We start from the raw sequence: 26893 nt of genomic DNA on the forward strand, positions 1-26893 counted from the left end.
GTGTTCTAGCGTCAAATCATCCATCATTTGTGTAACTTTCAGCAAGTCACTCTACCTCTGTACCTCTGCATTTTCAATTTGCAAGAGTGGTTGCAGAGTTAAACTAGATGATGGTATTATATACTTGTTTTTGGTTTGTCTATTTCTTTATTTTAAAGAATGTTCAATATCTACTCCATAACAGGCATAGCATTAGCTTCAGGATTTCCAGCAGTGAGCCAAACATACAGAGCCCTAGTTCTCATGGGGTTGATTTCCTATTTGAGGAAAAGAGACAAAAAGGAAATATACAAATACATACATTATTAGGTGGTGATAAATGCTATGGAGAAAAATAAGAAGAAATAGGGGAGATAAGGGGGGGGGGTGATTAATTTATGTAGACATTCAGGAAAGGCCTCAATGTTGAAGTAGTATTCAAGCTCATACCTGAGAAAATTAGAGCCTGAGCCAAAAGGCTATCAGGGCAGATGGTCACAGGCAGCCAGTGCAAAGGACCTGAGGTGGGAATGTGCTTGGTGAGTTGGAGGCACAGGAAGGGGCCTGTGTGGCTAGTACAGAGGGAGGAAGGCTGAGAGTAGAGATGATATCTGAGCTTCCAAGGGGCCAGAGAATGGAAGGTTTGGGAGTGAGACGGAGCCATGGACAAATTGAAGCAGAGTGAATATGCTCTGATTTATACTGTTAAAAGTTGATCACTCCTGCGGAGTGTGGATAGAAATTTAGGGACAAGGGAGGGTGGAGGGAGACTAGTTAGGAGACTATTGTCATAATCCAGGTGGCTTGGCCATGAAGTTAGTGGCGGAAGAGGTCTCATTCTGGGCATATCTTGAAGCTATGCTTGATGGGGTTGTTGGTAATTGGGTCTGGGGTATGAGAGGAAGGGAGGGGCCAGGGTGACACCAAGCATGTGATTAAGGCCTGAGCACCTGGACTGATGAGCTGTTGTTTGCTAAGATGGGTAAGGCTGAGAGAGATGCAGTTTTAGGGGAAGGGTTGGATATTAGGGGTTCAGCTTTGGACTTGCATTTCCGTGTCTAGGAGACACTCTAGTAGAGATATGAAATTGGTGATGGTATGAGTAAGGTTGGAGTTTAGACAAAAATCTAGGCTAGAATTATGGATTTGAGAATCATTAGCATACACATGCTATTTAGAGGCTTGAGACTGGATGGAAGCGTAGATAAATTGAGTGTAGCTAGTGGGGGCCAAAGCATTGATTCTCTTCCCAAATGCTAGGGAGCCCTATTACTTGGAGCAGGAATTGTCAGACAGTGACCAGATTTTCATGTCTTTTTGTAAATAAAGTTTAATTGGAACCATTCATCTGCATTTCTTTATCTATTGTCTGTGGCTGTTGTTGAGCTACAACAGGAGAGCTGAGTAGTTGTGACAAAGACTCATGGCCTGCCAAAGGCCAACAAAATCTACCATCTGGCTGTTTAGAGACAGGGTTTTTGTTTTTGTTTTTGTTTTTTTTGACCCTTGATTTAGAGATCAAGGAGATAAGAGGCATCCAGCAAAGGAAGCTGAGAAGGAATAGCCAGAGAGGAAAGAAGAGTGCCAAGAGTTCTGCATTGAAGGAAAGATGGTGCCAGGGTTTGAACACACAGCATTAGAATACGTGAGGCTGGGCAAGTTACTTCCCCATAAGGACGGTAGTAGCACAGGATTGGCATAAAAATTAAAGTAGATGATGCATGCAAAACACTTACAGCTGTGCCTGGTATCCAGTAAGTATTCAGTAAATGCTCTTACAGCATCTACTTCTATTTGCTTAGTCTGTAGTCCTCAGCCAAGGCTCTGTACTGGAGACAAATCAGGATGTTTGAGGATTAGCCCCACCGCCTGATCAGGTAAGCCTATGATCTATGCTCAGGGACCTGAGGAAGAAGGAGGAAGGTGAGCCATGTCCCCCGACCCTGACCGTGTACACCCTGTCCCCCAAGAGGACCTTGAAGAAGAGCCCTTCAGCATCTGCTTTTTACTTCCTATCTTTGACAAACAGTCTTTATGGAAAGCTTTTGAGCAAACGGCAAATCCATCTTTATGAGATTACTAATGTCAACACATTTTGTGTATCAGGATTTTATAGGCTCCTGCGGGCCTGTGCCTGTGACAACATTGGCTGGCAGTGCTCGCCTGAGGAATTATGCAACATGCCCCTGATGCTGGAGAAGGATCTTGATATCCCACTGAGGCCCGGGACATTTTCTCCCAGAAACAGTCTTGAATGAGAAGCTTGAAGAGGGGAGTTAGATTTACTGGGGCTTCTCTAAAGATTCTGTGTCCAAAGCTTGAATAGGGAAAGAAATACTTTGCATCCATGTAGCAGGTTCTGCATTCAGCATACCAGGTTTGCTCCTAGTTAAAGAGTCATGGAGCCCATGGGAGTGTTTGTTCTTTGGGAATGTCATAAAAGAGAATTTGGCCTCTCCCACTTACATGTTCTTGCATTTCTTATTGGTCCTTCTCTTGCAATTATTGCTACTTTCCCTGGTCAACCTCTAGAGCAGTGGCTTTCCAAGTGCCTTCTGTGGACAGGTAGTATCAGCATCATCTAGAAACTTAGAGACGCAAATCCTCGGTGCACCCCCAACCCATGGAATCAACCGTTTTTAATGTGTGACCTTTGGCAGATTAGTTACCCCTCTGAAATCTAGTCTTACCCTATGAAATATGGGAACGTTAATAGCACAGGATTATTGTAAATATTAAATGAGATGATTTTAATGAGTCTTCCAGGCGATTCTGATTATGCTACAGTTCCACTCCTAAAGATTCTTCTAAAAGATTCCCATTTTTGGACAATTAGAAGTTCCTGCTAAGAGAAATTTTCAGATTTTATCCCTCTACACATTCGCAACTATTTTTAATCTGAGCTAATCTGCCAATCATCTTTCCAAAATGAATTAATACTCTCCCATTTTCTTAAAAATTTTGTAGGATATCAACCATTTTAAACTTTTTCTTAAAGACTCAGGGCATCATCATGAATATAATTATTGTTATATTAGATGTTGGGCCTTTGTCATATTTCTATATTTTGTGTTGTTTACCAGTTTTTTTCAGCTTCTTTAAAAATAGAATCTTTAGTTTGCTACCTTCTTCTTCATTGTCTGGATATCAGCTATTTTTTTAATAGCTATATCCAGTATTATCCCCATCACTTTCTAATTTTTTACTTTTAACTTGATTTTGCACAAGGACTGAAATAACCAAGATGATTAATAATGTACTCAAAGCAAGAATAAATCATTAAACATAATAGTAAATAAATGAGAAGAATTTATTGAGAGGAAATAAATGAGAGGGATTTTTTTTGAAAGTATAAGCTTCTGTACCTGAGTTTTGCATCATAAAGTCTGGATTCTTGGGTACCTTACTATTTACTTCTGATCATGTCATAGTTGTCTTGAATAACTGAATAGCTGATGTTTTGAATAAATGAAAAGTTTTTGTAGCATACTCACCACTCAATCATTCTCCTGAATGTTCCACCCTCATCATGTTATACCTTTCTATCCTTTGCATATATTGTTGACATATACATTTTCCTAGGTGATACAGTTTGTAACTGATATCATCCAATCACAAGTAAATTACTGCTCTGTGGAATAAAAGGTAATAACTAAATGGGACATGTCTCCTCTTTCACTCCCTTTTTGCTGTTGTTCCACTTCTCCTGGGCTCCTGATGAAGTCTAGGGGAGAGTATACAGGGCTGAGATGTGAACAACCCTAGGATCTAGGCTTGGCTCTGCCACTAAGTGACTATGTAGAACTAGGCAAATCTCTTGGCCTCTCTGGGCCATGAGATGCAACACTATAAATCAGTACGATAATACTCGCTTCTCCTTCCTTATAGCAGTAGAGCAAGAATCCAAATAAATAGTACAAGTGAGAACTCAACACAATCTACATCTGTGAAGCATCATTCTTAAGGTATATCCAGGGCATTTGGCTCCACGTAGACCTAGAGGTTGCTTTCTCAGTCCCTTGTCCGCCCCATATCCAGCTGCCTTGGCTCACAGAGTTTGAGACTGTGCTGTATTTTCTGTCATGCTTCAGAGTGTATCAAATCAACACAAATATAAAATAAAGCCATAAAGAGAAGGCTGATATTCACCATAGAAAATGTTGGAGGGAAAGACAAAAACACTCAACGACAACTTCACAAACAACCCTTATTATGGCTGTGGAAGACACAATAGTATGTGTAATGTGGTGTTTGGGCTGTATTTGCTGCTTGGGAATCTGGTGCATTCTGAGATGGAGGGAATGCCAAGTGTTTAGACAACATGCTGCTTGGCGCCTGCAGGTTCCTGGAAAGGACTGGGGTCTCCAGATCTAGGCTGCCAGCCAGGAGTCTCAGGCAGAGACATGCATTCTACCGTTTAAGGCCTTTCTAGACTTCAGCAGTGAGCAGATACAGGAGCCCTCAAGAAGCTCTGCAAAAGCCTACCACCACTGAGATCCAGGACATAATATGCATTCCTAAGCAGGCTGCTGCCTTTGGCTGAGTCTATCTGGGGGCCTTCTCTCTGCAGGAGAGGATGCTAACAGCTACTGTTCCTGAAGGACTCATAAGAAGACTTCTGTGCACTTCCAGCCTCCCACATGAAGCTTCTGGAAGGGCTAACCCGGTTCATTTCATCTACTTGCTGCCTATGCCAATCCTATCCCCTCTTCAAAGCCCAGTTTAAGTCTGACCTTCCCCATGAAATCACCAAAGCCTTTAGTCTTCATGACCCCTCCTGCCTCTGGCGGTCTCTTGCACTTGTTGCCTGAGATTCTCTTAAGCTCTTTTCATCTGCTGCCTTGTTAGTTAAATTTACTCTGAGTGTGTTTTATCTTGTTTCCTCAGCTGGATTGTCTGCATCTTGGGGGAAGGGAAAGTTCTTATAAATCCTGGTTCTGCTCTTGGGCCAGGACATGCCTGGGGCAGCAGGTGTGTCTTCCCCACCTAGACTGAGGAATTGTGTCTCAGGGGCTGGGCTGGATTCCGCAGGAGGGAGGCCAGGGCTGCCAAGAGCAGGAGAGCCAGAGAAAAGAATCAAATGGCCTTAAATTTGATTTAAGTTTCAAATTGCTTGAACCCAGGAGGCGGAGGTTGTAGTGAGCCAAATCGCACCATTGCACTCCAGCCTGGGCGACAAGAGTGAAACTCCGTTTGAAACAAACAAACAAAAAAACAAACAAACAAACAAACAAAAACAAGCCTGGCAACTGCTGCCAAGTGTCTCATCCAAAGAAGGAAGGGGGATCGAAACCAAAGAATTGTGAAGTCACAGGATCAACAGTCAGGCAAGTGGCTAAGGACTCAGGCTATGAAGGGTCCTCTGCCACGGTTAGGAGGTTTCTTTGTTGTTTTGTGGTGCTCTTTGTGGTGTAGAAACAGGTCATTTCTCTACAAGGATTCATGCAGGTTGGACAGTTCCATCATGGTCTGCTCCCAAGCATGGGGCCTGTAGAAGTAATGACTTTTCTTCTGGTCCCAGTCCACAAAGAGATCGTGATCCCATTCCCCTTACCTGTACAATGCAGGGGTGAGACTCAATCCTTTCTTGAGTCCCAGTAAATGACTTGAGAGATTGTGAGCAGACCAATATCTTCTGTAAATGACTGGATATTCCAGGGAATACTTTCAAAAAGCATCTTGGACATAAAAACTTTTTTTTTTCATAAGCAGTGGAGGCTTGGGGTCAAAAGCTAGACCATTCCTAAAGGAAAGTTTGATAGTTTCTTCTTTGGGAGTGAAAACCCTATGCATTTAAGAACAGAAAGGAAAGCTTGCATAGGTCTGAAAATGGAAAATAGGCCTATTTCCTTTAAGAATAGTAAATTTCAGGCCAGATGCACTGGCTCATGCCTGTAATCCCAGGACTTTCGGAGGCTGAGGTGGGCAGATCACTTGAGATCAGGAGTTCAAGACCATCCTGGCCAACATGGCAAAACCTTCTCTCTACTAAAAAATACAAAAATTAGCTGGGTGTGGTGGCACGTGGCTGTAATTCCAGCTACTCGGGAAGCTGAGGCACAAGAAGCAGAGGTTGCAGTAAGCCAAGAGCAGGCCACTGCACTCCAGCCAGGGAGACAGAAGGAGACTCTGTCTCAAAACAAACAAACAAACAAACAAAAAACCAAAAAAGAATGGTAAATTCCAATTAACAACAGGAGATGGAACAAATGGTGGACAGTGACTGTCATCAGAGAAGTAAATGCTATGTCTGCAAAAAAGAGGTGAGGGCACAGTGATGCGTAGAGACCCCTGGCTTTAATTATCCCATGCCTTGGTGTTACTGGTCCTCTGGAGATCTACTTAACAGGAAGTAGTGAGCTATGTCCCCACAAAAGCATCCCAGAGGCCATTTCTGAGCAGGATGGCCTGTGGGAGTCGAGTGGTCAGTTGCCATGGTTAGCAGAGATTTCCTGCTGAGAAGTCGCCCCTATGTGTGCACATGGACAGTGTTGGGTAGAGCAATGCTCCTTCAACTTTAGTGTGTTTACCATCACCTGGGGATCTTGTTGAGCTACACGTTCTGATTTCATAGGCCTGGAGTGGAACCCAAGACTGTGTTTCTAACTAGCTTCCAGGTGCTGTCCATATTGCGGGGCTGTGGACCACATTTTGAGTAGCGTGGTGTAGTGGACACTGGAGGAAGAAGTGTAGACCTGAGCTCTAGCCCCAGCTCAGCCCTGTGTGTGGCCCTGGGCAAGTCACTGACACTCTAAGACTCACAATTATGTCAATCATAGTGATAAAGGGAAATGAACTAGAAAGACTCTCCCTGGTTCTATGATGCGATGTTTCTGTTACAGTCCCACAGAGAATTTAGACCTCTACCTTGTTCTTCCTTAGAGTAGACTGTTGGCCCTAGAGATGTGCCCAGTGGTCATGTAACATGGAGATATGCTTGATTAATTCACTGTACATGGGTTGTTTGACCAGCTTCTACCCAGTGCCTATAAGAGTAGATACCAGACTCTATTTTTATGTCATTTGAAAGACAAGGGTAGAAGAGACAGCAGTTCAGTGACAGTTGCGCCATCGCCATTACTCTAATGGTTCAGAAATAGCTTCCCCTCTTCCCCTGTGGAATGTTTAGATTCATACTTTTAACCTGTAGCATTTTCCTACCCTTCCTGTGTAGGAAGCAGGTGCATTGGACCACCCTAAAACAATGCGTAGGCCTCAGACTTCTGAACTCATTTCTCTGAGATGAGATGTCCAGTTTGTTCACTACAACAATAGTTGCCAGACCTATTACGGTTATGTAATAGGTTTCTTTTTTTAAACAGGTCTTGAAAATGTATGCATTATTCTTTAGGTAATAAATGAAATTTAAAAGACTGAAAATAAATCAGCTTTGCAAAGTGGGGGCTGAAGCTTTTCTACTAACTGAACCATCTTTTCTTTTTTATTCTTGTTACTTTTTAAGGAGATGATGGCAAGTGATTTCTTTTTAACCCATTTTAAGGGCCCAGTTCATCTTGTACAATTCTTGTGCAAAGTCTCTACTGAGACTTTGGCCTGATGCAAAAGAAGAGGCCCTTAGAGAATAATGCTGGGCATGGAGTGTGATTCAAGAAGTTATTATCGTGTGTTCTCTGACACAGGGTGGCTCTTGCTCCCCAAGGGTCCAACAGAGAGGGGCCCAGGCATGCAGAATATTACATGCCTGCCCTGTTTCCCCATCAGAGAAATGTTTTCCAACAGCCATTGTGGTTGTAGTAAGGAAAAACATGTCTTTCTGCCTGGATATATCAACTGAGGGATGAACGGTGAGAGAATATAATTGTCTAAGGATGACAACAGGATCAATTTCCCTTTGACACTGTAGGCCACCACCTCTTTGTCTCCATAAAATTTCATTAGCACTTGAATTTATCAGATTGGCTTAGCTGTTGTGCATTCTGCTCTGTGTGCAACGGGCCCATTGTTCTACTCTACTTTAACTGGTTTTCTGATGGATGTGTTTATGATACCTCCTGCTGGGTATTGTGCGTGACAACTGGGGACTCGATAACTAAACAATATCTGAACGCAGAATCCCTCTGTCCAGGGAGGGGCTGAGGAAGTCACAACAGTTAATCTGTAGTAGGACCCATGTCCTCCCATCTGCAGGGGATGCTCTGTTGGCTTGCAAAGTGGAAAGATCTGGGAGGCTGAGGTCTGATGTCGTCGTCATCGGCAGAGCGACCTTGCTCCTCATTTGTGCGCACAGGCACTGAATGGAGGGAGCCTTGAATCATCTGATTTTGCTCCTCATTAGTATTTCTCCACTGTGTTCTCTGACCACACTTTCCTCCTCGGTGCATGCAAAGCTATTAGCAATGCACACACGCGGCACATCTGTGGAGCCATTATTGCTGCTGGATAGCTGTGTTTGTGTAAAATATTGAACACCCTGTGAAGATTTATAATGGTTTCCCGCCCTGTCCTCTATCCACCCCCTCTTCTCTATTTAAAGACATATTAACATCTCTAGCTCTACCTGGAGGAAAAACTCTTTGAAGTGAGACTGCACGAAGATAAAATGCCTTCTCTGAAAGCGTCCCTCTAGAATGAGCATGGAGGCCTTCTGAGAGGCCAGGGAACCACCTGAGGCACAGGGGCAGGATGTCTCTGCTGGAAGGCCTCAGGCCCCTCTCTCCCTGCTTTCTGTCCCTACTGGGAGTCAGCTCTCCCAAGCACAGGCTAAGCACCCTTGTGACCACAGTTATCTGGCCCTTGTGAGAGCTTGCTGGTGACTTTCCTGAGACTGGAGTCCCGAGGCTTTTAACAATGTGGATGTGCCTTGGCCAAAAGACATCCTCTGGGTTCCTTAATACTTGTCTTCACTCTTCTGTTTTGTCAGTGGAGATGCCAGTAGCTGTAATTTAGTCTTGGGTGGGAGAGAGCCAGAGGTCGAGGAGGGGGTGGGGAAATTGTCATCCTAACCCAGCATAGAGGACCTGGTTTAAAGAGGCTTAACAGACCACTGGTCTTACCAGCAGATGCACCTGGGGCTTCGAGAGTGACTTGGGCTTAGCTTCTTCAAAGGGTGCTGAAATCTCTCACCACCCCTGCTCAACCCTCTTGCTGCCCCCACCCCAATGGAGAGGGGCCCAGGCATGCAGAATATTGTATTCCAACGATGCTAGATTCATGTGCATGATATGGAAGGGTCTGGAGGGAAGAGGCTGCTGGTGCCTATGGCCCTGAGGACCAGCTTTCTCCTTCCCCCATGTCCCCAGGCCACCCCACCCAGAGCATGCCCTCGGCACGCAACAAGCGGCATGTTCCAGGTTGTTCCAGGGCCAGAGAGAGTGACATGAGGCAATGTCTGTGGCAAGCGAAAAATGTGTGCTGAGCCTTGGGAGGCGCCGATTGGCTGGCAGTGAGGTAATGCAATGCAGTCCAAATGTGGAAGCAGCAGTACCAGCATCGAGGGCGTGCCTCCTCGGCAAGCCTGAGTCTCCTGCCAGCCATCTGAAGGACAAGGCGCCGAGGGGTGCTGCAGACCTCATGCAGGTGGCTGGCTCACATGGCAGGGTCTGGGTGGTAGAGATCAGATGGCAGGATCTGAGTTGTCATGTCTGTTCTCTGTCCCTGAACACACCAAATGCCACTACAATTCTGATCTCTGTTCTTCAATGGGGATCTCTTAGTGGGGAGGGCAAAGAAGCTTGAAAATGAGGGTCTGGACCTCAGAACCACTTACCCAGGTCATGGTGAGTGATGGTCAATACAACTACTCTTGAGGATTAGGATGGTTTTCTCAGTAACCGATGGCTTCCCTTTAATGATATAAACCTTCTCAGGGTCTTTCCTAAGCACAGTTCTAGATTCATATTTGGGCCAGAAGTCCACACTCAATCTCCCCATTCCAGTCCATTTCCTATGACTTTGTGTCATTGGCAATGTCCGCTACGAAGGATGGAGGAATTCAAGAGGCCACTGTGGGCTATGCTTTCTTCTCTTTAATAAGACTCCTGTTCCAGGAGAAAACTGGCCTCTCAAAAAAAGTCTTCTGAGGAATAGCAGCTACCAGGAATCACAGTTGGTTCCCCATGAACATTTCAGATCAATTACATAAATAATAACTACCTATTGTCTTCTAGTGTCAGTACCACAGGAGTAACTCCACATCTTTGAGTTAATAAATAAATTTACTTACTTATTCAATAAATATTCTGGACTCTTTACGGCAGTTCTGACAATGTTCTAAATGTATAGGCTATGGTGGTGAGCAGAACAAAGTCCTTGGTCTCATGAAGCTAACATTGTAAAGGGAGATACAGACAAAAAGCAAGAGAGCTAAGAAGAAAATGAAAGAGGATAATGAAATACAGGGTGGCTAGTGATTGAGGCAACTGTAGTTGGGTGGTCAGGGATGACCTCTGTAAAGAGGTAACATTTTAGCTGAGACATCAGTGAAGCCAATATGGCCATGAGAAGTTCTAGGAGAAAACTCCCTGCTGGCCCCAGAAATTAATTACAATATGAAGCTTTAGGGAAGGCCACAGGGTTGAATACCTAAGAAGAAATATCCCAGTGGTTAAGGACAACTTCTGCTTTGCCACTCAGAGAGAAGCAGAGCTTGTCATTGAGCTAGTACAGTCCTGTGCACTCGTGGGAGTAAGGTCGCCTCCTTTCCCCAGGCACACAGTAACTCTGCTGGATTGCTGACTCCTGGCAGTGTCTTGTAGCAAGGTAGACTGGGGGGTGGCAGATGCAAACTCTCCCTAAAGAGGTATCATCCTCAGTTATTTCCATTCACCCAAACCCTTTCTTTCCTCCAAATCACACTGGCTATATATCTGAATGTTTTCTTTGACCCAGATCCTATTCTTGGCTTCTGTAGACATTGTCTTGTTTGATCCCTATAAAAATCTGCAAGATGGATGCTATAATTTGCATTTGACTAAGGAGGAAACTGAGGCTGTAAGAGATAAGGCAACTCTCCCAAGATGGCTCTTTTGGGGAGACGTAGAATTGAGGTCCAAACTCCTAAGAAAGATGGAACTTTGGCCATCTCCATTGAGGATGAATAACTCATCAAACTATTCCTGGGAAAGGGGGTGGCAGAGGAGAGAGAGATATTGAGACAGGCTACATATCATAATATCATGGGTTAAACCAACAGCAATTTTAGACCCCAAGGGGACAATTCGCATAGCTGCAGACGTTTTTCCTTGTCACACTGGGGATGGGTGGGGAGCGCTACTGACATCTAGTGGGTAGAGACCTGGGATGAGGTTCTAAATGTTCTACGACGCACATGACAGTGCCACAGCAAAGAATTATTTGGCCCCAGATGTCAATAGTGCTGAGGTTGAGAAACCTTCGATTAAAGTCTTACAGTGCTCACTGCTCTCTGCTTCCTCTGTCTTCCTTCTATGGCTGCCCTCGGGGTTACTTACACACTGGATCTCTAGATACAGGACTAAAGTCATAATGGAAATTTAAGATTCCATTTGGATGCTGATTTTTTTCCCAAGCTCTCTTCACTATTTATTAAATGGTTAGTGAAGGGAGGTGGAAAGCTTGATCTCCAGGCAAGTGAGTCCCTTGGACGTGGGGTGGGGAGGGTGAAGCTCTGGTGTGGTACTGCATCAGCCTAGTGGGAGGTGCTTGTTAACCCTCTGTGCTGTGGCTTCCCCATCTGTAAAATGGAGGTGAAAATACCTCCTCCTGCCACCTCTCAGGTTTGCTGTGAGAAGTCAGTGATGTGTAAGTGCTTTCATAAAAGTACTATATACGTGTGTTATTACTAATTCTTATATCATGAATAAAATGAAATCATCATTCTGCCCCTGACAACACCAATTTGCTGAACCATTAGAATTCTGTACATTACAGTCTTAAAGAGCCATAGAGAGAACTGTAAGGGACCTCAAGAGGTCATGCGGTAGAAAATGGCCAGTGAGACACTTGGGAATGATTAAAGTGAGGTGGGAAGACACATGGCATCTTATTCAGTTACTCAACTCTCCTTTGTTCACTTCCTTGCATCATCATTGCCTTTAGGAGTAATATAATAACTGCATTAATAAAGTTGTTATCCTCCTCCCACCCCTGCCAGAGCTCTGAGGGCACAGTCTAAACAGAATAATTAATTAATGAAAATGAAGAGAAAATAGCTCAAGTGATGGCTATAGGAGATCAAATAGCAAAGAGAAAGCTGCAAAAACGTTCGTTGTTATTTGACACTGAGTAGTGCAAAGAGGGCTGGGAGAGTCCCAGGATCCCTGATCAACAGAGAGAGAGTATCCTGGGGGTTTCCTCTTTACTTTTTCTTTTTCTGCTCTGAAAGGTTAGGAAAGATCCTGAGGGCATAATCTGACCATCTGATCCAGGCCAGCATACTGCTGGAGAAGACTGTGTCGGGGATGAGGTGGTCTGAGAAGCTGGAATAAATGCAGGATCAGCTGATAAGGAGGGTGAGGAAAAGGTGAGCTTAGTGTCTGACTTTAAAAATATGTAGATGAGCTCCCTAAATAAAATACCCCTCCACACTGTACTGATGACTGAAATTCCTTTAAGAGAAAATATTTTCGTTCTACAATTAAAGATAGAATCCTATTTTTTCCAGGGAGAAGTAATATTGTCTTAAATTTATCCTACATTACTACATGTTGATTACAAAAACTGAAGAATCTATTTTCTTTGTTTTTTTTCCAGTTTTTATCTCCATCCCCATCTTGCATCTTACAAAGGACCCAATAGAAGCTTCATGGGGTACAGGAAAGAATATAGCAAGGACCTTGGAGGCCTCAGGCCTCAATCTGGCTCTGCCATTCAATAGTTTGACCTTGGAGAGCAATCAGAATTCTCAGGGCCTTAGATCCTCTGCCCGTGAAGCTGAGGTATTGGACTGGATATCTCCAAGGGCCCTACTAACAATAAGATTATGGACTGGGGATGGCTTTTCTTCTTTCCATTTTGTTCAAGGAAGCCTCCTCTTCGTCATTTCTCACCTACCACCCAGCTCTGTATTTTCCCATATTTCAATGTCCTTTCATGAAGACATATAAACAGTGGCCATGAGTCAAGGGGATGCAAGGGTATCTGTGGTTCAAGAAGATGCACGTGATGACCACGGCTAGTTGATCCCTCTTGGCATATTGTTGCCATCTCAGAAAGACAGGAAGGGTGGGTTACAGCTGCCAGCACCATCAGGATTAAAAGCAGGAGGACTTTAAGACTCACCCTCGATGATGCAGAACTCAAAAGGTCTCTGCTTCACAGCTCTGGGCCACCTTGAAGGGCAAGTTGACAAAATAAAGCAAAGCCCAGACAGCCTTACAGAGTAGTAGATTCTGCATTCCTCATTTTCATGGATAATTACTGTAGCCTTCAATTTGAGGAACATGGCAGTGATTTGTGTGCAGTTTACTCTTCTTTCAGGTGATGGAACCAGAGCCAGAGGCGTGGATGTGACTCTGTTGCCCTCTAGTGGCTAGAATGCAGTAGCATACCCAGCACCCCCTCAGACTTGGCTTGGTGGTGCCGCTGACACGTGAGCAAGGGTTCCTGGGACACTGACTGCCAAGGGGGCTCGGGATTCTTTCAGCACAACTCCTGACCTGAGATTCTGCAGAGAGAGAGAGAGAGGGAGGGAGGGAAAGAGCATCATCCTTCCTATTTCTGGAAGTCAGATCTGTAACACAGAGGGCCTGTTTCGTCTAGAGTAACCCTGTACCAGCTGCAGCGCTGGGACGCTCCTGCCTCTTCTGCGGTCGCATGTCCATGTTTTGGGGCAGCTAAGGCACCTGGGGTCTGCTCTCGCAGTCACACATTTGCTGTGTCACTTCTGCCTCAGTTAGATGTTTTCTCTAGCAAACAGATATCATTATGTGGTTTTCCAATTATCACTTCCCAAAGGGAGCTGGTTAATATGGATGAGGCTTTTTAACATTTGGCTTTGAAGACAGGGTTATATGTAGTTGTAGCAGAGGGAGCCAATATCTCGGTAATTGGCTAAGGTTTGCAGAGGAGCAAGGCAGTCTGGGGTATGTGCCATCTCTGGGACGCGGGGTCTTTGCAGAATGTGTTATTGTGGTGTAGTCTTTAAGTGAGTTCTCAGATAAACTGGAAGGTGGGTCTAGGTGGAGATTATTTCAAGAAGGTTAGAACTCTGGTCTCTGGTTACAATAAAAAAGCTGGATTGCTGAAGATCATATGGGCATTGTTGATGTTGGGCTCAGGCAGAGAGTTCTTAGTAGGGTCTTCTTACCCTGACGGTTGCCCTTTGTAACAGGCAATAATACAAGAGGATTAATTTATGGAGAGGCTGAAGAGGTTAGTGGAATGAGAAGAGATGCAGCATGCAGGGACAAAACTCAGTTTACTATATCAGCTTCTTTTACCCTTTGGGACAAGAATCCCCAATTTACTGGGCAAAACTTCCCTCCTTCTACTTCCTCTTCCAAGAGTTTAACTCATGGAAAGGAAATGAGGGGAAATAGCACATTTCATGGCATCGAAGAGGGCATCTTTGAAACCTAGCGGCTTTCCACCTACAGACATTTAGAATGCAACTTATGCTGGCAAAGCTATTGAGGGTTTAAATGATATGCTTTATAGCGTGTTGCATTTCTTCCTTTGAAAATGAGGAGCTTGAATTACCTTTCTTGCTTCATAATAGAAATTTAGTCTTATTTCTCAGTCTATAGTTAACACATAGCAATCTGGTGCCTTCGAGTGACAATTTACCTAAAAGTCAGCGTTACATAGATAGTTCTACAAAATCCAAACTTACATGCTTTGTCTGTACACTTCTTGGTCTTCCAACCTTCAGGATCACCATTGATTCCTTTTCCTGTACCCCTCCAACCCCTGACACTGTTAAACTCCATTTCAGTAGTCATTCACCCAGTCCTGCAGATTTTTTGTCCCTACAGCCTAACATTAGTTTTCAACCAGATCACTCTTTTTTTACACTATTCAAAAATTTCTTTAGCTTTAAAAGCCCTCATGAGCCAAAGTGCCAGAGATACTTGTGGTGTTCTAAAGTATTTGCTGGGACAGGGTTAAATGGATAGGGAAAAAAAGAAATAATAGGAGGGAAAAGGGTCCCATGAAAAGCTTGCTGCCTGGTGGTGGGGAAGATGGAGTACCACCAGCTATCATTATAGGCTGGGCCAGGTGATAGGCAGAATAAAGTGACTTAAGAAATTTCTGGAAGCACTTCACTGCACTGCAAGTCATGCCACTCTTCCTCAGCTCACAGTTGGCAGAAGCACCACTATAAACTGGGTTCAGCCACGTGTCCCTTAGACACATAAGAGAGGGAGTGCCAATTGGGAGGACAGGTGACCGAGGGGGGCAGAGGGACACATTCATTTATTACCCAGTTTTGTCCTGGATTGATGCTGGTCTTGGGTATCCGACAGTGGAACCACTCTAGTACCTGACACACCTACTCTTGACCCAGCTTTTTCACTCCCAATTTGGTTGTTATACAGCACCACAAATAGGGAAAGATGGCTGGGACTTTGAAGAGAACAGGTGGCTCCTATCAGCTGGTGCTAAAAGAGCCCCACCTTATAGATATGTATCTTACACTCATATGACCTTCCCTACTACAATACTGTCATAAAGTCAAAAATGTGTGTCTCTTGTCCCTTTGGGCTCCCCCAGCTCCATTTAATACCGTTCCCAATGTTTGTACCTAATTACAGATTTGAGGAGTCATAAAACCACATCTCCCAAGAGGTAGATCTGCTTTATTTTGGCTTCTGTGACACCTGATTGTCCTCTTTCTTCATTCACCTTTAATGATTTGCTTCCTTTTGTTGCTTATCAAGGACTTGTGCTCCTGAAGGTTCTGTCCTTGACTCCCTTGTCTTCCCCCAACATTATCTTTCTGGACAATCTCTACCACCTTAATGTTAATGAGCCTCAACTCCAAATTGGCAGCCCAGATCACCCTCCAGGGCTCTGGACATGTGTCCCCAGCTTTCTATTAGACATCTCTACCTACTTGTCCCACAAGAACCTCAAACAACAAACATCTAAACCTGAATTTATCCTCTGCTCCACAAAAGTCACTTCTCTATTTCTCATTAGAAGTATAGAAATGGAAGAATGAAAAACTTCCATCCATTCTATCACTTGGTATTAACCTAGACCTTTTCCCCTTGCTCAACCCCATCTCTCCTTTTGCCTTTTACCACGAATCTGTCACCAGATCTTACAATTCTACTTCTCAAATATCTTTCCAGACAGACTCTTCCTCTCCATGTCTACTTTACTGCCCTAGTTCAGGGTTTCATCACCTTGATCTGGCCTTTGATATCTGCCTCCATGTGTCCAGGACCTGCATGCTAATCCCTGAAAGAAAACCTGGATACAGTTTTGCAGCTGAATTTTATTTTAATGAAATCTGCATTCTTGTGGATAACCTTCCAACACACTACTTCAGTAATATCACTGACTGTAGCAATAATAATAATATCAGTGACTATAACAAAAACTTTTGGCTTAAAAAAAAATCCATTTGCAATGACTTCACTTTCCGAAGTTCTCAACTGATACCCAGAGCCATTCTTTTTGGTCATATGCCAATTTTGTGAGTAAAATATAGGGTTTCTTTATGACCATACATTTCCTATGATGGCGAGCTTATGAGGGTGGTCCTTCATGCAAGTTTCTCATCTTTCTATAGCCTGAAAAGTACTGATTCTTTTTTTTTTTTTGAGATGGAATCTCACTGTGTTGCCCAGGCTGGAGTGCAGTGGCATGATCTCGGCTCACTGCAAGCTCCGTCTCCTGGGTTCACGCCATTCTCCTGCCTCAGCCTCCCAAGTAGCTGGGACTACAGGTACCCGCCACCACGCCCGGCTAATTTTTTGTATATTTTTAGTAGACACAGGGTTTCACCATGTTAGCCAGGATGGTCTCTATCTCCTGACCTCGTGATCCACCCACCTCGGCCTCCCAAAGTGCTGGGATTACAGGTGTGAGCCACTGTGCCTGGCCTTGATTCTTTGAAAATGAACTCTTTTTGGCACCCTCATCTTCTGCCATCTTGGTCCATTTTGCTTATCAGAGTAAATACAACTGGTAAAAAGGTTTATGCTATTTATTCTCCCTCCAGTCTTGGTTCATAACATGCTCAGTTAAATTTCTCCCTCATTGAGTGTCTCCTCAAAGATAAATATTTTACCTTGGAAAGTCTGGTCATTTCTAAGGTTAGGAAAATGCTATCAGTCACTTTGGAGTTGATTGCCTATGTCAGGTTGGCATTCTTGGATGAACTACAGGTTTAAGATTTGCTGTTCTGCATGCATCACTGTGAAGTCATCTGAGATGGGCGCTGACCTGTAGCTCACAAGGAGTTTCAAGGTCTTCTATCATCCTCCTTTCAAACACTCACAGTGATTAATTCTCCAGAAATCACTACTGGTGCTATCACCTTCAGAAAACAATTTTCTTTCTGAATACATGTAGGGTATATAGGCTTCTCTGGTTTGGTTTGCATTTCACATTAGCCTTTTTTTTTTTTTTTTTTTTTAAATTCCAAGGAACTCTACCTTCAAAAGCAAGCAAAGCATTCTCCTCCCAGGTGGCCCATGTACTGGATTTTGGAGTCTGAATTGTTATTTCCTCACTCCTGCCTTCCTCTCTTCTTGGCTTTCTTTCTAGGGCACCTGACGTCCTTCCTTATTACTGATGGCAGCAGAGACTGAACCCCTGGGAGAGGAAAGTGAACTGAGTAATTGTTTTGCCTTTTCATGTCTGATGTATCACTCTGGGTCAGTGTAGCTTTAGTTGAAAGAGTAATGTTGTTACCCAGGAGCAGCTGTAGTGTCTCCAGACAACTCCAAGACCTCTCCAGTCCCGCAGAGGTCAGTTTCTGGTCTGGGCATAATGGTCTTTTTTCCAGGGGTTGAAGCCCAGCTAGAAGCAAATTCCTACTCTGATTTCTCAAGACTCTGAACACCCACACCGGCCCATGAGGGCAGAGAGTGGTGGCTGGCTTTCTAAACCAGCCTTGTGTCTTCAGAGTCCTTGATCAGAGATAACTTGGGGAAAGCTGTGTCTCATAAATCCACTTTGCTACTGGGTCAGAGAGATGCCTTGAGAATGACCTTAGCTAGGGAAGGGATGGAATATTGGTTTCCCTTTGTCCCCTGCCCTTCAGTTCATGGCATAGGGTTAAGAGAGTGTCAGGAGCCTGCAGGCCTGTTCTGTGCTTAGCGTGGGGAGACATGGCAGCAAGTTGGCAAGCTGGGGTCTTCTTATTCCAAATTCAACCATTTCTTGGCACTTTTTTTGTTTCTTTTTCTGAGAGGTAGTAGACAGTGGAGCTAAATAAAATTTTCTCCCAAGAAAAAATGGTTAGAAGCAGCGTGTCCCCTGCCCAGGCCTGAAATCTCTTCATTCCCTTTCCCTTTCCCCAGGGTTCCCAAAGGTCTTCTGCATTGCCCACCTGCTGCTCTCTTTCCTGCCCTGTTTGTTTTGATGGCATTAAAAGGCCTGCCTGCCTACTTTACAAGGACCCTCATTTCTTTACCCATCATGTTTTGATATATTTTTTCTTGCTTTTTCTTGAGGTTTGCAATCAAGAGCCCTTTAACTGAAATCCTGGGCTGCCTGCAGCAGCTGTGGGGTTCCCAGCCAACTGCCTTGTCCTCTGAGGGATAAATTCCCTTTGACCGTGCCACTTGTGAAAACACAGAGCAAGTGTAGAGTATTTTACATATAATTTAGAAAGAGAGAGGACTTATCGGTGGGTGGTAGGAAAGGACAGAAGATGGATTAATATTTTTTCTTTATCACTTGGCATGTTAAACTTAATTATATTTCTTGAAAGACCTCTAAACAGTTATAATTAGAAATTATGATAATAGCTGCGGTTGCCTTACACATGTTCATTTTACTGCTTGCTTCTTTGTGAATGTGGGCTGTGATTAATAAATAACCACCAACATCATTAGGACAAGACCTCTCCTTGCCTGCTGGGACCCCTTTGACTTTGGATGGACAGTGTCAAGGATCAGGAGCACCTAGACTAGCCCCATGAGCCATGGCCTTCATAGGCTAGATGGTCATTGGAAATGAAGTTGTTGGCACCGACAGTCACAGTTATGAAAATAAGAATTTGGATCTCAGATTTTTCTGCTCCCTCTTCTCCTGTGTATTAGTCCGTTCTTATGCTGCTAATAAAGACATACCCGAGACTGAGTAATTTATAAAGGAAAGAGGTTTAATGGACTCACAGTTCCACTTGGCTAGGGAGGCCTCACAATCACGACGGAAGATGAAGGAAGAGCAAAGGGATGTCTTACACGGAGGCAGGCTAGAGAGAATTAGAGCCAAGTGAAAGAGGAAACCCATTATAAAATCATCAGATCTTGTGAGACTTATTCACTACCACAAGAACAGTATGAGGGAAACTGCCTCCATAATTCAATTATCTCCTACCGGGTTTCTCTCACAACACTTGGGAATTATGGGAGCTACAATTCAAGATGAGATTTGGGTGGGGACACAGCCAAACCATGTCATCCTCTCTTGGTCATTTGTTTTTTTTTTTTTTGATTTACAAGTATCGTTTATTCACTCACTTATTTTTGTGCAGGGATGACAAGAGAGTCACAGGAATATCCCTAAATACTTACGGTATCATTGTAAAGAGAAATAACCCAAGAAGAGAGTGAAAAAAGAACCTCCTAACCAAGGGCTGCAGTTGAGTACTAACTACTCTGTGGTGAGAAATAGGAAATTTAGTATTAAGTTAAAGCAAAATCCTTTTTAACATTTCTGAGGTCTATTCTCATGTTGATTATAAATGGGAAAAGTGAGAATTAGCTTACTTCTAACCTAGCTGCCTGTTTGGCCCTGCAAAGGATTTTAGAGATCCCCTTCATTCTGTTTATTTTATGGAAGAGGAATTTGAGTCTGGAGGAGTTAAGACATTGACTGGGCAAAGAGGCCCAACCACTCATGTTCAGACCTCCCTGTGAGATGCCATATAAGAATATCAAGAGAAAACCTTTTACCCTCTAGGCTGTTCAACCTTAGAAATTCATAAGAGCCCCCTTAGTAGTCAATTATGAATGATAACAATAAAGATCCATGTTCAAAGTATTGAAAGCACTGTTTCAATAACTTTCTTACAGCATGGGTGTATGACAGACCAGAGACTAAATACGGAGTCCTAATTCTCAAGACAGTCTCAAAGGATATTCAAGATCAAATTTAGAAAATATATTGTCAGAAGCCTGTTCCCCAGAGTCACATTCAAAGATTTTTCTCAGAGAAATTTTCCTAAAGGCATGATTCTAAAGAGATCTAGTACAAGGCAAAGGATTTCGATTTTTTTTCCCCTACTACTTCCTCATCTCCACCCCACAAGTTGACCTGGAGTCATCTTTGGTCCTTTTGAGTTTTAAGTCATCATCTTCCCTCAGGCTCAAGAGGAAGCCTGCTGTATTTTGATGAGACAACTCACCTTTGATGTCACAGTTTTCACTCTTCAAGAACAAGGAGTCATTAGTATCTTGACATCTAACTGTATAAGTTAAAGCACTTCCTGGAAGCTCAAAGGGAAACACTGAACTCTTAACACACAGATTCTGCTGGAAGTAAATGACTCTGCCCTATAAAAGGAGGAGAAAGAAATTCTATTTGAGTAATGCCGTTGAAATATTAAAAGAAATTCAGAGGGAAAAATATCCAAGTGAATAATATATATTGGATCTCTGGCCTCTAATTTGACATTCAGGTCAGATCAAAACTAACCCTGTGAGATTCTGGAATTTAATGTCATATAAAAATGCTACTGGGCAAGGAACTTTATTACACATGATCATAAAAATATATGGGAGGCGCCATCTCTGGGTATTTTTCTATCAAATCTTTACTCATTTTACAGTCTTTACAAACAGAAGCCAGAAGTGCTATATTTGAACATCTACATTTGTTGGGATTTCTTTAAAAAAAATAAAACAAAAAGAAGAATCACATTTTATACGTGTTAAATGGTGTAGTAGTAAACCATGTTTAAAAAAGCTTCAGTTTTCATTGGTGTACAAAGCTGCTACATGTAAATATTGGAACCACTTTTTAAAAGAGGATTGCTGCAGTCAGATTTTTTAAAATAATAAAATAATCACAAAGTTCAACATATGGTGTCTTCATGTGATTATAAGTGTGCGAGTGTGTATACATGTTTTTAATTCCTTAGGATTAGCAGAATGACAAAATGTGTGAAGAAGGATAGATGATGGTTATTTCAAGCAGCACAAGAATTTGAGGAGGAGGTGGAGACTAAGAAGAGAGAGGAAAAAAAGATCAAGCAGGACAAGGGACATGGGTACAAGACTAGAAGAAAAGCTGGATTTCTTTAAACTAGAAAAATCAAAGACATCTGTTCCCCTTATGGCAATAACCACATTTTTCTAGAAATTTACACATTAACATCTAAAAATGGATTTGTGCTAAAAATACAAGCTATGCTCAATGCATGACTCTTGAATGACTTTCCCCTATGATTCCTCTGTAGTCATATGGCAAGGCCATGCCCTCATCTGACATTTTTTTTAGTCAGGAAATACCAACTTCAGTTTTCTTTGATCATGTGATTTCCTTGGCCTGGAAACTCTTCTCTGTCTTTCCCCCTAACCAACTCTTACTCATTCTTCTAGACTAACTCAGCTCTTTAATCACTGAGAAAACCTTCCCTGCCTATCTTTGTCCCTTCCTTAGTTTTACTGAATTTGCCTGCCCTGTACTCTGATAGCACATTGTATTTAAATAAACACTTACGGTCTCTCCCGCTAGGCTGTGAACTTCTTAAGTGAAAAGCCATGTTTTATTGAAATCTATATTTCTGGAACCTAACACAGTGTCCTAGATGCTCGATAAATATGTTTTGGACTAAAATATGCTGCTAGTTTAATGCTCCAGTTCCTGATGAAGCCAGGGCTTTCTTTCCCAGGAGACAGTCAACTCAGGGGGCATGTTTGGTTTAGTACCTGCCAGCGTGTTGTTGACAAACACCATATACTCTCTGTTGCAAAGCCAAAACATGACCTTTTCCACAAATGGAGTAAGCGTTTATTGGGGAATAAAAAAGTATGATGATTGTTTTTAAGTAACGTATAAACCTAAGTGTCTCAATAGAAATTGTGAGAAATATTTATTTACTGCGAGAGAAACATTTTCCTTAAGCTTTCATTGTTTTAGGTAGTCTTCGTTTTCCTGTTCCCCATCCTCCTAGGTTGAATTCCCTGATTCTGGCTGGCATGCTCATAATTTCTATGATCACAGCCCCATTGTCTGTTGGAGCTGAGGGCATTGTAAGTTTTTGTAAGCAGCCTTTGATAAGTTTTAGAGGTGTAGAGAAAGAGCTCTGTCTCCTCCCTGGGAGAATACTCCTTTCCCTACACCTCAGAGGACCAAATCATGTCTTTATTAATATGAAGCATTCATTCCAGTGGCATATTTTATTCATTACAAGAGGATCAGTAGTTTGAGCAATCAGAGATGAATTCTAATATATGGAATCCTTTCCCGCTGAGCTTCCATGAAAGCATTTGATCCTTTTTGGCCTGCCCCCTTTGAGCTGGCTCCTTTATTAATCCTAAAGGACCAAGGTGTAAGAACTCAGGCAGGACAACTGTCTCTTTAGGCAAACCCAGGCTTTGATCCGCTTCCCTGACACAGTGATCTCACCTCCTTTGGCTCAGTCCTCTCCTTCGTCATTGGCCCAGCTATGAGTCTGGAAGTCCCCACAGTGCCTTCTTTGGGTCAATACTATTATCGTGCACCTGCTATTTGCCTGGTGCTGTGCTAGAGACTCAGGATACAGATGTGTAGAGGGAAGAGTGTTTATTCTTGTGACCTTATCATGGAGAGCTTTCAGATGAGATTTATTCCTACCAAATTTATTATTTGAGTGAAACTGAACAGTTCCATTCTGATAAGTAAGGGAAGAACCAGGCATACTATGTTGCTATTCTCCACGATCTGTGTTAAGGTTTCTGTGGATGTGTGTGTGTGTCTACTTAAAGAAATGGCAGTCTATCCCTCTTACATCCTCAGATATTCACAGAGCCCCTCAGTGACATTTTTTGGCCTAGGCTTTTTAACATTCTAGAGTAGAAGAGTTGACTGGTAGGAACATTTCTAAGTGCTCTTTTGCACCATAAAGCAAGAGGAGTGTAGCTGTTAGGGGAACTTGAGAAGTTGGTTAGTGTGTAAGTGATGTGAGAAAATTCTAAGTTTTCCAGTTTAAAAATGGAGACAGGAGGGAAATGGCCCTTTGTTAAGAAAATAATGTTAAGGTATTAAGAAAACAATATTAAGGTATAAAGAAAACCAGAGACATGAAACAGAAGTTGGACTCTGAGAGTCTTGGCGGAGATGGTGGTAGTTTTAGCCTGCATAGGTCTGGGATAGGAGTCACTTGCTGTCCACTGGCATCAGAGGACACAACGGAGTCTTTGATGTGGGTCTGAAATGTTACAACTTCCCACCCCCACTTAAGGATGCTTGGATGGAGAATAAGAGATGTCAGTTGTGTTCTGAAAACCCTAACCTAGATATACCTTCAGCCAAAAGAGAGACATGCTACCATGGTTATCATCCAAAGCCACTCTGTAGAATATAGCCCAAACATCACTGTGTATTAAAACATTTCTCTTTACTGTTTTCACATAAATAGATTAATTTATACAGATTTGTATTTATTTACATATTTGTGTATATGCTGCACTAAATCCTCACTAGTGGGACATTGTTTAGGAATCCTGGTACAGGGTGTAGTACCAACAAGGAAAACCTTCTTATTAAGCTCAGTGTCACTTGATCCATTATATTTAATGCCAGGAAGGGTATATATACAGATTTAGAAATTACCTTATTTCTTTGTCGACTGAGATGGGTAATCTACTCAATAACCATTTAATGACAATGCACAATGTTCCAGGATGCAGAATTGAATAGCCTAGCCTGGGTCGCTCCCCTCTGAGAAGATTACAGTGTAATATGATAATTATTACCATAGTGCTACCCCTGGGGCAGAGGACACTCAGAGAAGGGGTATCTGATTTAGACATGGGGATCACTACAGCTGCCTGGAGGAGAGGAAGCTTAAACTGTGTTGGGAAGTGTGAGTAGGACACAGATTGGTAAGGTGGGGGTGGAGAGGTATTCCAGAAAAAGGGCTGGGCATAGGGAGGCTTGTAGCAATCTACAATATTTGGGAAGCTATGGGTGGGTTAATACTACGGGCATTAAGTATGCTTTGGGAGGGAGTGAATGGGGATAGGATTCAGGGCACAGCTGGGCCAGGTCACGAAGTAAATAAGATCAGAAAGACTTTGAATAGCTCAGTCAGGATGGAGATTCATCTTGAAACTAATAGCTGGAGACCTTGATTGACTTGAGAAGGAAGAGAATCATGTGATCCTATTTACACGTGGAAAGATCATGCTAGCTGTCATTTGGAGGAGGAAGTAGTTAAGGGCAGGGTAGAGATAGGCAGATATCATGAGATAACCTCCATGAAAAAAAAAAGGGTGAGGTGGCACAGGTGAAAGTAAACTTAGGAAAGTAAAGCCAGGATTCTAATGAAAGATGTTATTAATTAAACTTACTGTTTAGGAGGATGATGGAGAAACCCAGGTCCTGGCAAAAACGGTCACACTACTTTAAAGTTTGGGACTAAGAAGGAAATGAATAGGATATCATGAAAGTAGGCTCTGTGATTTTCTTAGTTTGTAGGGAGATGGTAGAACTTAGTGGTTAAGCACTTGAGCTTTGAGCTCTGAAAGATGTGAGTGGATTCCTGGCCTGATCTCATACTAGCTGCATGACCTTGGTTGACCTTCAGCATTCTCATCTGTTGAATGGGGTAATAATAATATATGACTCCAGGAGTTCTTGTGAGAATTTAATCAGAAAGTACATGTTAAATACTTTTTGGCACCTAGTAAGTGTTCAATAAATTACCACTTTGCTTATTTTTATAATTGGTAATTAAAAGCCAGCAAAAGTATGCTTGTAGTGGAAAAGGCACTACAGGCACAAGTACTAATGGGGCTTGGGCTGCCAGGAAAATACCCTGTGATCTCCTTCTGATACCTGGCACACAATTTTCAGGGATCTTGGAAAACGTTTACCTCATATGCAAGTCCATGCATGGTACCAGCAAACAGGGATCCTTGAAGAAGTGAATTCACAGCTGTCTTTACCTTCTACTATGTAACAGAATGTGAGATAGAGAGAAGGAGAGGGAGGAGAGAGGGAGGGAGAGAGAGAGAGAGAGAGGAGAGAGAGAAAGAAAGTGACAAATTAGATTATGGAATGGAAAGTTACATTTGGGAAGGTGAAGAGTTTTGTCAAGTATCTTAGCCTTTCTTAGCCTCATTTTAAAATGATGTTGGACTAAGTCCAGCTGCAAACTGACAGCCCATGCAACTAGCACGTGGAAATATTTTAAAAAGCTGAGCCAACGTTTAAAAATTGGAAATTTGTCAATTGAGGTAGCTTCTTCCATAATAAGTTCATTTTTATTATTTATTCAAAGCTAAATAATTTTATTCAAAAATAGATTTCTGGATTCTGTTGAAAAATCCTAAGATCTGGCCAACCAGGCTCCTGCTCTTCCAAGGGCGTAAGCATTGCTGCCCCTTTTGGGCAAAGAATCAGGTTTCTAGGTCCTCAAGGCTCATCACTTGGGGTGTGTGCTGGTCTCTCATGCCAGGTCCCCTTCTCTTATTTGCAAACTGTCTCTGTTTGATATTAAAATTTGTAATGGGGAAACACTCACTGGTTTCTAAAACCCTATGTAGATTTAAGTAGTTGATGATTCTGTGAAAAAACCAAATACCTTCTAGAGAAAACATACAGGTTGGGCAGAGCCCAGGTATTGATGTCCTTGATGAAACTGGTTTTTGTATTCTGAATGTTGGAGATTGAGAGATCCAAAGCCATTCTCTAAGGTTGACACCAAGGTGCAGGTGAAACCATGGGGGGCAGGTGTGGGGAGAAAGGGAAGGAGTTGAAGGAAGAAATCTACAATTACTCGGAACTCCACATCCACTCAGCTGCTGTAGAATATGAGTTGAGAGGAAATGCAGAGGAGAATCTGCTGCATAGGACCACTGGAATATAGATTGTGTTTTGGAAATGACTGATTTATCAGGTGGAAGCAGAGAATGATAAGCCAGCTCCATGCTGTTCTCTCCTTTGTCATGTTCCCCTGCCCCTGGCCCTTGGCCTTCCTCTCACTTCCCTCCCTGACACCCCAACTCCATGCAGCATTTGCTCCCCCTCCACCCAACTCCTCCTTGCTTTCCTGGCAGGTTCACCAAGAAACAACCGGGCCTCCATGGCAACGTGAAGACAGCTGAAAAATGGCAGCTAAATGCAGCTGCCCCTCATTTAATATCGACTCTGGCACTGACAGAACAGATAATGGGCAATAACACACCATTATGTTGTGGGAAAATGAAATGCTTCAGCAGAAGGCTGTCATGCTGGGGGGATTTATTTGTTACTGTACCAGCACCAGTTTCTATTTACTTCCCTTCCGTTCTTTTTGTTCCCTCATTTCCATGCCAGTTTCTCCCTCCTCCTGGTTTCTCTCCCATTCCTCCCTTCTATAGCTTCTCTTTTTTGTACTTCCTTTCCCTCCTCTTTTTTTTTTTTCCTTCTCTCTGAATCACTTATGGATATACCAGAAAGCATACATATATAATGCAATTATTTGCATGATGACTTACAAGTTCCAAAGCACATTCAAATACATTGCTTTTTCATTTGGAGGGTGAGGCAACCCTATGAAGACAGGTAGGGCCTAGACACTGATGTTTATTTTGCAGATTTTTAAAGGGGCTCAGAGAAGTTGAACCCAAGATCAGGCAAGTAAGTGTCAGCAGCTGCATTG

General features: G+C 42.9%; 1 protein-coding gene across 52 annotated transcripts in view, besides 1 other annotated feature; it reads left to right on the forward strand.

Annotated features, from left to right (window-relative positions):
* The window catches only part of NRXN3 (neurexin 3), a 1697919-nt gene that overhangs the window by 414410 nt on the left and 1256616 nt on the right, over positions 1-26893 (forward strand). The window lies entirely within an intron of this gene.
* Positions 13509-13558: a silencer, noted in NCBI's record as "silent region_5982". NCBI's record gives its function as "represses an Ori minimal core promoter by ATAC-STARR-seq in GM12878 lymphoblastoid cells {active_cell/tissue: GM12878}" and the evidence as "EXISTENCE:reporter gene assay evidence [ECO:0000049][PMID:35858748]".

This window comes from Homo sapiens, chromosome 14 (genome assembly GCF_000001405.40).
Source record: "Homo sapiens chromosome 14, GRCh38.p14 Primary Assembly".
In the NCBI taxonomy this organism is placed as follows: domain Eukaryota; kingdom Metazoa; phylum Chordata; class Mammalia; order Primates; family Hominidae; genus Homo; species Homo sapiens.